This window comes from Homo sapiens, chromosome 13, assembly GCF_000001405.40.
Source record: "Homo sapiens chromosome 13, GRCh38.p14 Primary Assembly".
NCBI classification, from domain to species: Eukaryota; Metazoa; Chordata; class Mammalia; order Primates; family Hominidae; genus Homo; species Homo sapiens.
The window spans coordinates 42182733-42197566 of record NC_000013.11 but is presented as its reverse complement, the minus strand read 5'-3'; the positions used below and the strand labels follow the sequence as shown (position 1 = coordinate 42197566).

At 35.7% G+C, this 14834-nt stretch overlaps 1 protein-coding gene across 8 annotated transcripts in view; it reads right to left on the bottom strand.

The window, feature by feature from the left end:
• Positions 1-14834, bottom strand: part of DGKH (diacylglycerol kinase eta) — a 216515-nt gene that overhangs the window by 59018 nt on the left and 142663 nt on the right. For 7 of the 8 annotated variants that reach the window (NR_123714.2, NM_001204504.3, NM_178009.5 and 4 more), the window contains 4 exons: positions 10419-10518; positions 8258-8531; positions 7042-7164; positions 2551-2682 (listed from right to left, as the gene is read on the bottom strand). Coding sequence is in view for 6 of the 8 variants with exons in the window: in NM_001204504.3 (NP_001191433.1) it covers positions 2551-2682; positions 7042-7164; positions 8258-8531; positions 10419-10518 (629 nt within the window). In the remaining 2 variants the exon portion in view is untranslated. Of the gene's footprint in view, positions 1-1607; positions 1805-2550; positions 2683-7041; positions 7165-8257; positions 8532-10418; positions 10519-14834 lie in introns of all 8 variants that reach the window. The other variant, NR_123715.2, reaches the window with a different exon arrangement.

Below are 14834 nucleotides of genomic sequence, written 5' to 3'. Positions count from 1 at the left end.
CAGCAATTCCTTTCTTTAGCAAACATTCCTTTCCTCAGCACTATGCTCTTCTTAGGGAATTATTATTATTCATTATTTTAATGTTTAGGCAATTATCAAATACAATGAATTTTGTTCTTTCGTTTAATGTCATAGTTTTGAATATACTGTGGCATACTTCTTTATGCCAATTTCCCTTATGTCTAAACAAGTAAATGAATGAAGAAAACAATAAATTTAGTAAGCATAAAGAACAGTTTGGAGAGGTGAGAGCCACACTCCAGCTGCCCTAGAGGGAAGTGTTAATATTTTCTTTCTTTTTTTTTTTTTTTTTTGTTGAGATAGAGTCTCACTCTGTTGCCCAGGCTGGAGTATAGTAGCATGATCTCAGATCACTGCAACCTCCGCCTCCCGGCTTCAAGGGATAATCCTGCCTCAGTCTCTCAAGTAGCTGGGATTAAAGGGGTGAGCCAGCATGCCTGGCTAATTTTTGTATTTTTAGTAGAGACGGGGTTTCACCATGTTAGCCAGGTCTCAAACTCCTGACCTCAGGTGATCCGCCTGCCTCAGCCTCCCAAAATGCTGGGATTACAGGCGTGAGCCACCACGCCCAGCCATGTTAATATTTTCTAAGATGTTTTAGGGTTAGCCATATTCCTTTCAGCTTTATTCCAGAGGGGTTATCCCAAGGTTCCTAGTTGGAATAGAAACACAGCATCTAAACCTGAAGGCCTTTCCAGAACCAGTTTGTTTCAGATTGATCTTTCTTTTTTTCTTTTAATATTTCTATTCTGATACAACTGATATATTATAAAATTAACCCTTTTAAAGTTTTTAGATAATTCAGTTGTTTGTAATATATACACAAAGTTGTGCAACCATCACTGTTAATTCTAAAACCTTTTCGTTACCCTGCAAAGTAACGGTGTACCCACTAGCTGTCATTTTCCATTCCGTCGATCACCTCACCTCCAGGTCCTTGGGAACCACCGTCTACTTTCTGTCTCTATGCGTTATGACTATTCTGCGCATTTCATATAAATGCAGTCATATTACATTTGGCTTTTATGTTCATTTTCCATAGTGTTTCTATATAGCATGTATCAGTGCTTCATTCTTTTTAATGGGTAGATAATATTCCATTGTATGAATATATCACTTTTGTTTCTTCCATTCAACTGATGGATGTTTGGGTTGCTTCCACTTTGGGGCTATTGTGAATGCTGCTATAAATAGTCATGAACAAGTTTTTGTGTAGACATGTATTTTCAATTCTCTTGGGTGTATACCTAGTAGTAAAATTGCTGGGTCACATGTAAACTCTATGTTTAACTTTTTGGGGAACTGTGAAACTATTCTTAAAATGGCTGCACCATTTTACATTCCTACCACCAATGCATGAAAGTTCTAATTTCTTCACATCTGTGCCAATATTTGTTATCATCTGTCTATTTTGATCACAGTCAACCTAGTGGCATAAAGGGGCACCTCATTATGGTTTTAATTTGCATTCCCCTGGTGACTAACGATGTTGAGCATCCTTTCATGTATTTACTGGCTATTTGTGTATTTTCTTTGGGAAAATGTCTATTTAGATTCCTTTCTCATTTTAAAAGTGAGATACTTACCTTTTTATTGTTGAATTTTAAGGGTTCTTTATATGTTCTGGATACTAGTCCTTTATCAGATATATTATTTGTAAATTCTTAAATTGTCATTTCACTTTCTCGATAGTGTCCTTTGAATCACAAAACTATTCATTTCGGTGAAGTCCAATTTATTTGTCTTTTGTGGCGTGTGCTTGTCATATCTGAGAAATCATTGCCTAATCCAAAATCATGAATAATTTACATCAATGTTGTCTAAAAATGACTACAGAGAGACTCATGGCTTAAAACCAAAAGGATTCAGCAGAATGCTGACTAAAAAAACACCAAAGGAAAGCTTAAGAAGTAGTAGAACTTAGTAAGTTCAGACTTACTTTGGGAACTTAGTAAATGCAGATTCCTGGACTCCACTCCAGAACTACCGACTCATAATTTCCCAGGGCAGGGCCCAGAAACATGTGTTTGTTTGTTTGTTTTCTGAGACAGAGTCTCACTCTGTCTCCCAGGCTGGAGTGCAGTGGTGTGATCTCAGCTTACCGCACCCTCCGCCTCCCGAGTTCAAGCAATTCTCGGGCCTCAGCCTCCTGAGTAGCTAAGATTACAGGGGTGTACCACTACACTTAGCTAATTTTTTTGTATTTTTAGTAGAGACAGGCTTGTCACTGTGTTGGCCAGGCTTGTCTCGAACTCCTGACCTTGTGATCTGCCCATCTTGGCTTCCCAAAGTGCTGCGATTACAGGTGTGAGCCACTGCACCTGGCCGAAACAAGTGTTTTAATACTTTCTAGGCAACTGTTACACAGGGAAGAATCTAAGGGCCTGGATTCTGACTGAAAGTATAACAAGAACATTCTACTAAAGAATATTTATCTTTAAGAACATGTTTCCACAGTAATAGAAATAAATACTTACACCTTTTCACAGAAATACTGAAAAATACACGATGTTTCAGAATCTGTACTACCTGGGCAGATTATTCTGGTATTGAGCACAGGGAGGTTTTCTTTGCTGGCTGCCACAGCTGGACCAGGGACAGAATCAGTTTGGGAATGGCCATAACTTGCCCGGGCATCTGGAGACCGAGGTGCAGTTTTAACTGTTGGCAAAAAGTCCAGATTAAAAAGAGATAATGATAAAGCTATAAAAATAAGCACGTTCCTATAAATTTAAAACATAAAATAATGTTTAAATCAATCAGTAGAAATGAAAATATTATGCATAGCTATCGTTTACATTTTCTTGAGACTTACATGGAGGGAATAAGAAGTCTTGATTCCTCATCTCAAATCAATGAATATCAGTAGAAAATAGATGTCTACCATAATTAAAGGTCACTAATACTCAAAATTTGAATATGATCAATGCACACTTAAAGATAAATGAAGCTTTTGAAGTCCATTTTTGAAAATGAAACATATGTATTATAATGCACACTACCCATGTAATCCTTGTCTCATAAATATCAAGTGAATGATCAAATTTAATTAATGTAATTCCCAGAGCAAACACGTGAAACATGATTTAACATTGTCTTCAATAAATGGAAGAGGCCAGGTGTGGTGGCTCATGCCTGTAATCCCAGAGCTTTGGGAGGCTAAGGCAGGAGGATCACTTGAGGTCAGGAATTGAAGACCAGACTGGGCAACACAGCGAGACCCTGCCTCTATAAAAATGTTAGCCAGGCATGGTGGCATGCACCTGTAGTCCCTGCTACTTGGGAGGCTGAGGCTGGAGGATCACGTGAGCCCAGGAGTTTGAGGTTGCAGTGAGCTATGATCACATCACTGTACTCTAGCCTGGGTGACACAGTAAGACTCTGTCTCATACATAAACAAATAAATGGAAGAAAAATAGCATCCATCTTCAAGTGAAATGAACGTATTTTTCCTGTACTTCTCAATTATTTATTCAAAATGATGATTTGCCCAAACAGTTCTATCATATTCTTGTAAAAGCTCAATACATTTAAAAAATTATTCTAAAACATAATTATTCTCAAAGTACACAAGAAGAAGAAAGATTTAACTCTAAACTGAGGCAAGTTAATGCAGAGCAAATGGTACCTTTAACCAATTTAGGAGTTACTGGTAGGTATTTTTAAGAAACAGTAATTCTCAAACTCAATTTTAAAATACTCTAAAACTTAATTATCTTCACTCTCCCTAAAACTAATTACAAGCTAACTATATTAATTTTACACTCTATTGTCTCATTCAAAAACAGTCCCATTGCACTAAAGTAACAGAACAGCCACCCCTTTTTTAAATAGATAGGACTCCTGGGCTAATTTCTCATAAAAACAACTTTTTGATGTTCAACTCTGACAAAAAGCAGAGAGCGTACTAATGACTAAGACTGATGTTCCATTACAAGTAACTAAATTAATGTTTTCTGGTTCTTCTTAAATAAAGCATCTCATCAATCATATTAATATACGGTATTTCTCACATCTCAGACATATGAATTATTACATGATGATACAATAAATGTGCCTCAAAAAGTAGTATTTCATATACTTCTACTTCCACTATTGCTATTCATTTCCAACAAGTTAGATTACTAGCCAAAATAAAGACCAAATACTGTACCATTAAAGACTTTTCTAAATCTCTGTCTATTTCAATATCAACATTTACAGCACTATATTTGTATTTTTTAGTTTCCTTTATAGGCCACAACGGAAGTGTCAAGTTTAAGAGTATGGCAAGGTGGGATGATAGCCGGTTGGAAAACCATTAAATAAGCTTTGACAAACCAATCCTCCTAACAGCCATCATCTTAGGAGGAATTATCAGTGTATAGTAAGGATGCCATTGTCATCTCTGCTGTAATCAACACTTTCTAATAGATGAAAACATCAAAGGCCTGCTTATCAAATTCACAGATGAAATAAACTTAAGATGATAGAATCAAGCTTCCAAAGAGCTTCACAGGATGAAATAATAGATCTAAATAAAAAAGATAAAAGTTCATTGGGATGAGTGTAAACTACTATAATTAGGTTTTTAAAAGAGAAGTCTTGAGTAGTCTTTGTAACATCAAAAATGTCCTTAATGAGTAGTGTATGGGTACCAATGTGCTAATACACCACAGAAAATATCTGAAGAATTTTGTTTAAAATGGTGCATCACATTTTAAGATAAACATTGACCAAATGGGTGCAACAAGGAAAACAAAAGGTTTAAAATCATCAGTTTAAAAACTGGTAGAGAAACCTTAGGGCAGATCATCTGGAAAAGAAGATGTAAGGTGAGAGAAGATCTGATCCCACCAAAGCTGTTTTTGGTATCATTAAAGGGCTGCCACATGAAGAACAAGAAGAAGAAAGAAGAAAGAAGGAAGAAGAAGAAGAAAGAAGAAAGAAAAGAAGAAGAAGAAGAAGAGGAAGAGGAAAAAGAAGAAGAAGGAGGAGGAGGAGGAAGGGAGGAGGAGGAGGAGAAGGAAGAGGAGAAATAGCTCCAGAGTCAGAGTCCTCTTTGATACAGTCAAATGTATATGAAATTGCTCCTTAAACTAACCATAAACACTACATAAAGGCCAGTAGTTGTTACTGTCAAACTATCATTCATAAAACCTAATAATTACTGTAATCATGGGTAGAAATTTAGGGGAGAAAATAGAAAGCCCAATATAAAGAATGACTTTCTAACAATTAGAGCTGACCATAAGAGTGGGATGTATTGAAAGTGAGTGGTCCTAAGGCTTGTGGCCATCTGCTTCAAGGGTCCTAGAACATGCCTGCATTGGGTGGTATGCTGAACATGTGAGGTCCATGAGGTCTGATTTCAAAGTTTTTAAGAGTCTCAAGTACAATGAAATATTCTCTCACCGTTAATGTAATTAGTGACAGCAGCAGCAGCAGTAGTAGCAATAAAAATAACAACAATAAAGATGACAGTGAACACTCAGGCAGCACTATCTACCAGACACTATTCTAGGCACTTTACTTATAGTAACTTTTCAACCTTCGCAGCAACCCAATGAAGTAGGTAGATTATTATCCTCATATTAGAGATGAGAAAACCAAAAAGAGGTTAAGAAATTTGCCCAAGTTTATATGTAGTGAAAGTAAAAGCAAAAATTTAATGATTGCAAACATTTTTTAAAATTTTTTGAGAATAAGATAAAAACAGGTTTTTAAATTTAAAGTAACTTTATCAACTACCCTTTCTTTTACTTATTAAGTTTACGTTTTACTTATTTAGCTTCATATGAAAGCTGGAATAAATTTAGCAACAACATATTAATAAACCTACTATCTAATTTTTTTCATAGTTAACAAGAGATGTTTCAAACATGTAAAATTTAAAATGTACTCACTACTACTAGTCCTGTGGAAAAATCGGCCATAAACATGGGGAATGAAAGGTCTTCATCATGCCACAGCTCAAGCAGAAAATGTTAATCTGATATGGTCAGCTCTCCAAAAATTTGGTTTTTTTTCATTGTATGAAGACAATTTCTTTTTTTATAATTTCAACTTTTATTTTAGATTCAGGGGGACATGTGCAGGTTTATTATCTGAGTATATTGAGTGATGCGGAGGTTTGGGGTATGATTGATATCATCAACAAGGTACAGAGCATAGGACCCAATAGTTAGCTTTTCTACCATTCCTACCCTCCCACTTCTAGTAGTCCCCAATGTCTATTGTCTATTGCCCCCAATGACTGCAAACAATTCTGATATAATTGTGCTGACTTTTCATAAGTGCCATGTATTTATTTTCATATTGTCTCATCTTCATTAATAGTTTAATTTCTGCTTTGTTTTATTCCAGTACGTTAGAAACTTTTCCCTTAGGCAATATACAATATTAAAAGTATAAATTCATTTTCAATTAAAATCTAAAAGGTAGAAAGATATTTAACATTCTTCAAGCAATTACATATTCATTTCCTTACCAAAATAGTTTTGACAAAGCAAGGGCTGTAATTAGAAGTCCAGTGATTTTAACGCTTGCTTTAAAGTCCTATGATTTTGAAGCTTAATAAGGACTATCAACCCAGAAGGTTGATCGATGGAACTTAAGGGACTGCTGAATCACTTAAATGCCAAATTTTCTGCATTTGGAGCGTTAGGAGAGCTGCAGCTTTCTTACAATTCTCAAAGAAATCTGTGAGCTATAATAGGTTCAAATCAGATGATTTAGGTGTTTCCTCTTTCCTCAGGAAAACCAACATATTTAATCATCCTTAGTCCTATAATCCTTAGTTTATTGTTATAATCTCTAGATTACATGATAAGAGAGGGATGTGAGAGTACTGGACAATAGTCTAGGTGTTATCTTTATTGTTTTATTATTCATGAATATTTATCTAAGCTTTAACTTCCAAAAAGCCTTTTCAAAAATAAAAATACAAATAGTTTTTTTCAAACTGATCAGCCTTTTGAAAACTAAAAGCAAAATGACATTTTATTTAATTCCAAAATAATTTTTTCCCAGTTTCCTCACCAGTTATTGATTCTTTGGCACCATCATCTTTAGCTTCCTCCTTAGATTCATCTGTTTCTGTGCTGTCATAATCAGAGGACTGATTAGCTGGTTCACAGGGGTGAACTGTCGGGTCATCCATAACTTCAGGTAGTAAGAAGACAAATAGTTTGGATAAGTGAAAATAAAGCCCATTAATATTAAGATATGCTCAGGAAAGGCAAATTGAAACATATGCCAAACAAAATTCCAGATTCACAAATAAACACTATTTAGCAATGAACTTGGGGTTGATGTCCGAAGAACTAAAGATCAAAAACTAAAGTTGCTAAAATTATATTTTTATCAGAATAAACAAGTAAAGTATAAGAATTTTAGAGAATGAAATACAATTACAAGTTACAATCTATAAAGGGGTTTTTGAACATTAATTATTCATACTAAAATTAACATTTAGACTATAGCTAAAATTCTGAGAAGTATTAATATACACATTAATTAAAACAAGGCAGAGCTTTTATAAGCTCTTAATAAAGCAACATAAACATTTGGGAAATTAATGTTAAGAAAATATTTTCTGGCAGGGTGCAGTGGTTCACGCCTGTAATCCCAGCACTTCGGGAGGCTGAGGTGGACGAATCACTTGAGCCCAGGAGTTTGAGATCAGCCTGGGCAACATGGTGAAATCCCATCTCCACCAAAACTACAAAAAATTAGCTGGGTATGGCGGTGCACATCTGTGGTCCCAACTACTCGGGAGGCTGAGGGAGGAGGATAGCTCGAGCCTGGGAGGTGGACGTTGCAGTGAGCTGAGATCACGCCACTGTACTCCAGCTTGGGCAACAGAGTGAGACCCTTTCTCAAAAAATTTTTTTTTCTATATTTTCAAAGTAGTTTATAGGTTTTATTTTCTTTAAGAATTCAACAGATTCCAATTAAGTAAACTATATCTAAAATTTTTTAAATGTCATTTAAACTAGTTTTGTATTTTAGATAGAAATGTTTCCATTTATTTCTGCTATTTTATTTTATTCCTCACTAATATGCTGATTCTTACTACTACCATAACAATATATAAGACTATGTACAAGTTTTCTTATAATGACTGTATCTTCTATCTTGCCTTAAAAATTTTATTTTTAAAAAGTGTGTCCAATCTGACCACTATGGAAACTCCGTTATGCTTGCAGTAGAAATGCTGCCAACTTCTTCCAAAGCTAAATTTGTTAATGTGTACCTTTTCCGGCTTCCTCAATGACTTGCCTCACTGCTTTCTTTAAACTATTTGCCCGCAACATGATTTCCCTTGGTTTGACGGCTTTCTGGGAGGAAGGTTTTGTAACGTCATCCCCAAGCTGCTCTTTGCTTTCACCCAGGGACTCTTCACTGGACGATTCCACAGCATCTTCTTCCACAATGAGAGGGCTGAGGCCAGGGAGAACAGGCGCAGCCTGGGAATCTGTGTGCAAAGCCTGCAGCAGTTGTTCGAGCTTCTCGTTTAGGACTGAACACTGAGAGGAAAATATGGCAATGAGAAAAATACTCAAAAAGAATCAAGATCAGCAGACAAAGTACAAGAAATTTTTATAGAGATGTTTTGAAAGTTTAATCACTAGAGAGAAAAACACCAAAATTCTCACCTTTAATTTTGTAGATGTTTTGGTTCTGGAAGCAGCTAATTTTAAAATCTCCATTTAGTAGAGATAGACAACTATAATTTAAATTATGGCTTTTGATTTAGAGGGACAATGGCTTTATTGATGTTTACTACATGAAATAATTTATAATTTTTTAAGTTGGCACAATTATTATATAATTTCAGAGCCACTCAGACTCCATTTCATGGGGAAAAACATCTTTATAATATTTATACAGCTATTTTTCTCAAAATAACACAACAGACATTTTATACAAAGGGATGCTTTATATAAAAAATTACACAAAATTTGCTATACATTACACAAAACATTGGATCAACTTTTTAAAAAAAGTAATTGACTTAATGCACCATTTTGAGCGTCATAAATGGCACATCTGGCTGAGTTGTGGCAAACTCCCCTTCAAAGCTTTGGTTTGCAAAGGAGTGAACAATGCCTAAGGGATTATTGGCTCAAAGAAAGTGCAGGAAGGAAAATGCACAAGGATAAGGAGGGAAAAGAAGAGGGATACAGAAAGAAAAGCATGCACTAGGCAAGCCCTTGTTTCTTTCTGCTTTTCTTGTATTACGAGAGGTGAAGAAACATTTAGGACTGAAGCTGTTGATGCTACCCCCCAATATACTTTTCATCTCCATAAAATTTCCAGTCCCTTTCCTCCTCATCTATTTGTCTTTGATGATATGCTGAGACAAGGTTAGAGCAGAAATACTTTAGAGACAGAAGTATGGCCAGAAAGGGTTTCTATTTTCTGAAACTCTCCACAGAGCAGAAAGACAAGAGAAAAAGGCAGAAAACTTCAAATGTATATTTATTTCTATTTTCTTTTTCTTCCACTCAATTAAACTGCCATCTCCAACATGGATTTGGGGAAGTTAATTCCTTTGCAAGCCCAAGATACTCAAGCCTTTTGTAAGAAGGTCCTGTTGTGAACCAATGAAAGCAAAGATGGTAGTTTTTAAGATTCAGTAAACTGTTCTTATTTTAGTTTATAAAGGGGGAAAGAAATCTGTAAAGAAAAAAGCAATGCAAGAAGCAGCACTCTGAAAGAGACCAAGAATTGTAATGTCTAGGAAATCCAAAGAACCATGCTGGAAGACAGCTGAACTGGCCCAAATCTGCTTGGAAATGGAAAACCTTGCTTTCTCCACTGGAGCCCAGCTGCATGGGATCCCCTGTGGTCTGACTGCTATGCATCTCCCCTTCAGTCAATCATGGCCAGGTGTGGTGGCTCACACTTGTAATCCCAGCATTTTGGGAGGCTGAGGTGGACGGATCACCTGAGGTCAGGAGTTCAAGACCAGCCTGGCCAACATGGTGAAACCCCGTCTCTACTAGAAATACAAAAATTATTTGAGTGTGGTGGCAAGCACCTGTAATCCAGCTACTTGGGGGGCTGAGACAGGAGAATCGCTTGAACCTGGGAGGTGAAGGTTGCAGTGAGTAGAGAGAGCATCACTGCACTCTAGCCTGGGTGACAGAGCAAGACTCTGTCTCCAAAAAAAATCAATCACTGGGACAGGGATTTGAGTTAGGTTTTCAGCAATGCAGTTTTCCTACATATTAAAGGGTAACAATAAAATAGAATATTTTTTAAAATTCTCAGATCTGATCCAAAGTAATTTTTCTCTCGATTTAAGATGTTTTGGCAGGAAAACCACCTAATCAATTTAGCTTTGAAACACAGTTGAATGTGAGCATTGTCCATAAACAACTCTCATGCCCTGAAGAGTCCCCTCTTACTTTACTGGCCACGGCATCAGCTACAACGGCATTTTCCAAGGTTTTGTCATACGTCTTTTCTACTTTGGCAACGAAGTCCTTTACAGTTTCACATAGCGTCCTTTGAGGAAAAGAAGTTGTACAATTTAGTAAGCTTCATGAATTAATTTGCCTTGATTTATGAATATATTTAAAAAGAAACACAATTAAGCAAACTGTCAAATATCTGGGTCATCTGTATATAAATCTATGCTTCTATCTGCTGTGCAGTTTGTCTCACATAAGTCCAAGACATTCTAAGTGATAAATGCATACATGAATAAGCCTTGCTGTATATTACTTAAATTATAGTAATTAATGTTATAAGAAGCTTTCCTCAAACATTTAAATTATTTTTAGATCCCATTTAAAAATGATAAAGCATCATCTTGCTTTCTCCACTGAAATTCTAAACTTACATATTTTCATAACAGAAATTACATTGCTGAACAAAAATAAGATTGTCACTTGTCACTGTCAAGCCACGACTCATCATATGGATATTTTGATTGTTACAGTTACAATATATTATTACTGAAGAGAAAGAGGTTGTGCGTTATGCTGAAAACAAATCTGCCACTTGAGTTATATTCTCTGTAAATCTATTCATTTTTTCCTTGAGATAATCAATGCAATAACTACAAGACTAATTTAATTTAGGTCTTGTTAGTGTCAGCAGTATATGGTTTACTTGTTTGTTTATTTTAATTACATTTGGCTTCTTTGCGATAGAAATAAGCTAAAAGACAAAATAACTTGAAACACTAACAAAATCTGCCTTTTGAAAGGCTTTGGATCTGGATCTGGATCTGGTGCTGGATTAAAAACAACAATCAACAGAATGGTATATGACCAGCTTTTTTAAAGCCAAGGCTTATGCTGATAGAATCAGGCTATTTTTTAAATCATAGTATTGCTTTCTATCATTGATATAAATTGAGAAATTTAAATTTAAAAAAGGTTCCAGCAGTTATTTTTTCTATTACACTCACAACTTTCTCTGGTAGTTGAGTGGCAAAATGGTAAATTTCCATATACTTCAGTATTATGAACTTGAGCAATTCAATAGACACAGGACATACACACACACACACACACACACACACACACACACACACACCACCACCACCACCACTCCTCCCCCAACAGACACACACACTACCAACCTTCAGATTTATCACCTTGGAAATTGTATTCCTCCTAACAATTTTTGTTTTATTATTTTTTAGCAAACATTTCTAGATTTTATTTGAACAAAAGGTAATATTTTCTAATCCTGAACCTTCTTTGTTGGCTTTTTAAACTCAAATTTCTACAGAGAATCTAGCTTATCATTTACTAGACATGCATTCATGTACTTCATGTCAAGTTTTGTCTTCTTTGATCATGAACAATACTTCATGGGATTTCTCGAAATATATATAACACTATCACAAAATCTCTTCTAGGCATTTTACTGAAAGTTTCTGTAAAATGCGCTACTTTAAGGGAGAGGAGCATTGATGCATCTTCCTGTAACTCTGAAATAGAGGTTTTTCTTGCCATTATTATAACATCATCTTGTCATAATTTTCTCTTGGTTTGTGAAACTGCATATGTCATATCATTATCATAGCTGCTTTTGTTGGTATCTTATTCACTCCTAGAGACAGAGCCCTTCAGTCCATCAGCCTAGGAATGAAAAGGGCAGCAGGGGTGCCCCTCCTCAGTGTGCCATGTCACTGAGGCAAACAGAGGCTGACAGAGACACTATGATCCTGTGGCAGTGGTGGCCAAAGGAGCTGAGGAAGGGGCATGTGAAGGTTAGGAGAGTGCTCGCCACACAAGTGTGGAAAGAATCAGAAGACATGCTCTATCTTATTGCTCATTAAGTTCCATATGCTAAAAGGAATATAGGATATTTATATTCTGGGGGAATGAAGTAACCTTTTATTATACCTAAATAGTGAATGTAGAGTTATTAAAACAGAAATAAAATATATACTTAAAAACAGTATGATTGCAAAGTCCTACCAACCAGAAACGTGCAAATTGGAGAAAAAACAATCTTAAGATGTATTTACTATAGGAAGACAAAAGATATTCTCCAACTATACACACAGTTTTCTACTTTATACATAAGACTTCCAGAAAATATGTGCAAAAGTCAAATAAATGAAAGTAGAATGCAGATTTTCCCATAGAGATTAAAAAATTCTAAATTCCTAATTATATCTTTAATCAATGTTAGAACTTTTTTTTTAAAAAAAAAAAAACATTTTTAGAGATGGGGGTCTTGCTCAGTTGCCTAGGCTGGAGTGCAATGGTGTGATCATAGGTAACTGCATCCCTGAACTCCTGGGCTCAAGTGATCCTCCCAGCTTAGCCTCCTGAGTAGCTAGGACCACAGGTCCATGTCACCATGCTGAGCTAATTTAAAAAAATTTTTTTTGGTAGAGATGTAGTCTCTCTGTGTCGCCCCAGCTGGTCTCTAACTCATGGCCTCAAGCGATCCTCCTGACTTGCACTCCCAAAGCAATGAGATTACAGGGGTGAGCCACTGCATAAGGCCTAGACAGAACTTTTGGCATTTCCAACATTTTATTTCCTTAATTTTGTTCTCTTCCTTCAAAATTGAACATAGTCAACTGTGTGAACCAAATACTCAGTTGAGGCTAACAACAGTCCACATTTCACATACCTGATGATTTCCACTATCATCTCTACTATATTACATATGTTAGACCCATACTTCTCATCACTAGTATTAGTACCCTCATTTATCACCTTTCCACTTAATTTCTTAAAGTGTGGGCAAATGACAGTAAAATATGCACATACTACACTAAGATAAATATGGCAATGGTACCCAGACAGAATCATAGATTGGCAGGCAGGGTCATCATATCTGAAAAATTCATTTTTCATCTAATAAAAAGTTCCAATTTGAAACTGAAGATGATTTAGAAGTATCAATGCATAATACATAAAAATCTCTAGCTATCTTTGTCTCTAGCTGTCTTTGTGCTCTGAGGAAATATTTTTAACAACTACCTCACTTTACCAATTAAATGAGGCGGGTTGGCCTAAATTATCCCTAAAGTAGATTCCAAATCTAAATTCTATGGTTCTATGACAATGGCGTCAATATTCCTGCTAGCTAGTTATCCCATTTTCTGAAACTTTTGTACACAGAACAAAATGCATTTATTTCAAAACTTGGGGGGTGAGTAGAGTGCGTAAGTAAAAAACCTAATTAACTCCTACTGTTAAAGCTAAAAAAGTTTTTAAACTACTGACTAAATAAAAGGAGAGACATACATTGTAGCTAAAGACAACTTATTTAATAACTGTTTTACATTTTTACTAATAAATGGTATCTATGATTGCTAGTTAGAGCTGTGATTCTCAGAAGATAACTCTTATTACCATACCAAATTGATGAAGTTCTAAGGTCAAAGAAATGTTGTTTTAGGTTAACCTACATGTTAGCTATGTTAGTGGAATACAACTTTTCCATTAGCATTTCAACATTTTAAAAATAGCTGAAAACAGTTAAGGCTACTGGGAATTATTATTGCATGAAATAAATACAAACAGGCACAAGAGGGTTTAAACATTTTGCCTTAATATTGTATCACTGAATAAATAAATAACATTCACAAAAAAAGGGAATTCTTTATCTAGGTAGTAATTACAAGTGTGTATGTGTGTCTGTGTGTGACTGTGCGTACATGCAGTATTTTTTTAATCATTGAGTTGTGCTCTTGTGATTTAGGTGCTTTACTGTATATGTCATGCCTCAGTAAGAATTGTTTTTTAAAGGGAAACCATTATAGAATTTTTAAGTGTTTTTTTTTTTTAAGACGGGATCTCACTCTGTCATCCAGATTGGAGTGCAATGGCGTGATCACAGCTCACTGCAGCCTCGAACTCTCATGCTCAAAGGATCCTCTCAACTCAGCCTCCTGAGTAGCTAGGACTACAGGCACATACCACCACACCCAGCTAATTTTAAAACTTTTTGTAGAGATGGGATTCCACTATGTTGCCCAGGCTGGTCTTGAACTCCTGGGCTCAAGTAATCCTCCCACCTTGGCCTCCCAAAGTGTTGAGATTATAGGCATGGACCACCATGCCTGGTCAAGATTTTTAAAGTCTTAAAGAGATATCACTCAAATGTAGTGTGTGAGCATTGTCTGAATTTTGAACAAATAAAGTGTGTGTGGTTTTTTTTTTTTTTAAAGACCTTGTCAAAATTCAGACAAGGTTCACAGAAAAACCTCTGAGAAAACTAAGGGAAATGGGATATGGCTTAAGTAATATTGATAGTGTTAGAGAATTATTATTAATTTTTAGATTTTTAAAAAGATTATATGTGCGCACATGCACACGTGCACACAAGCACACACACACACA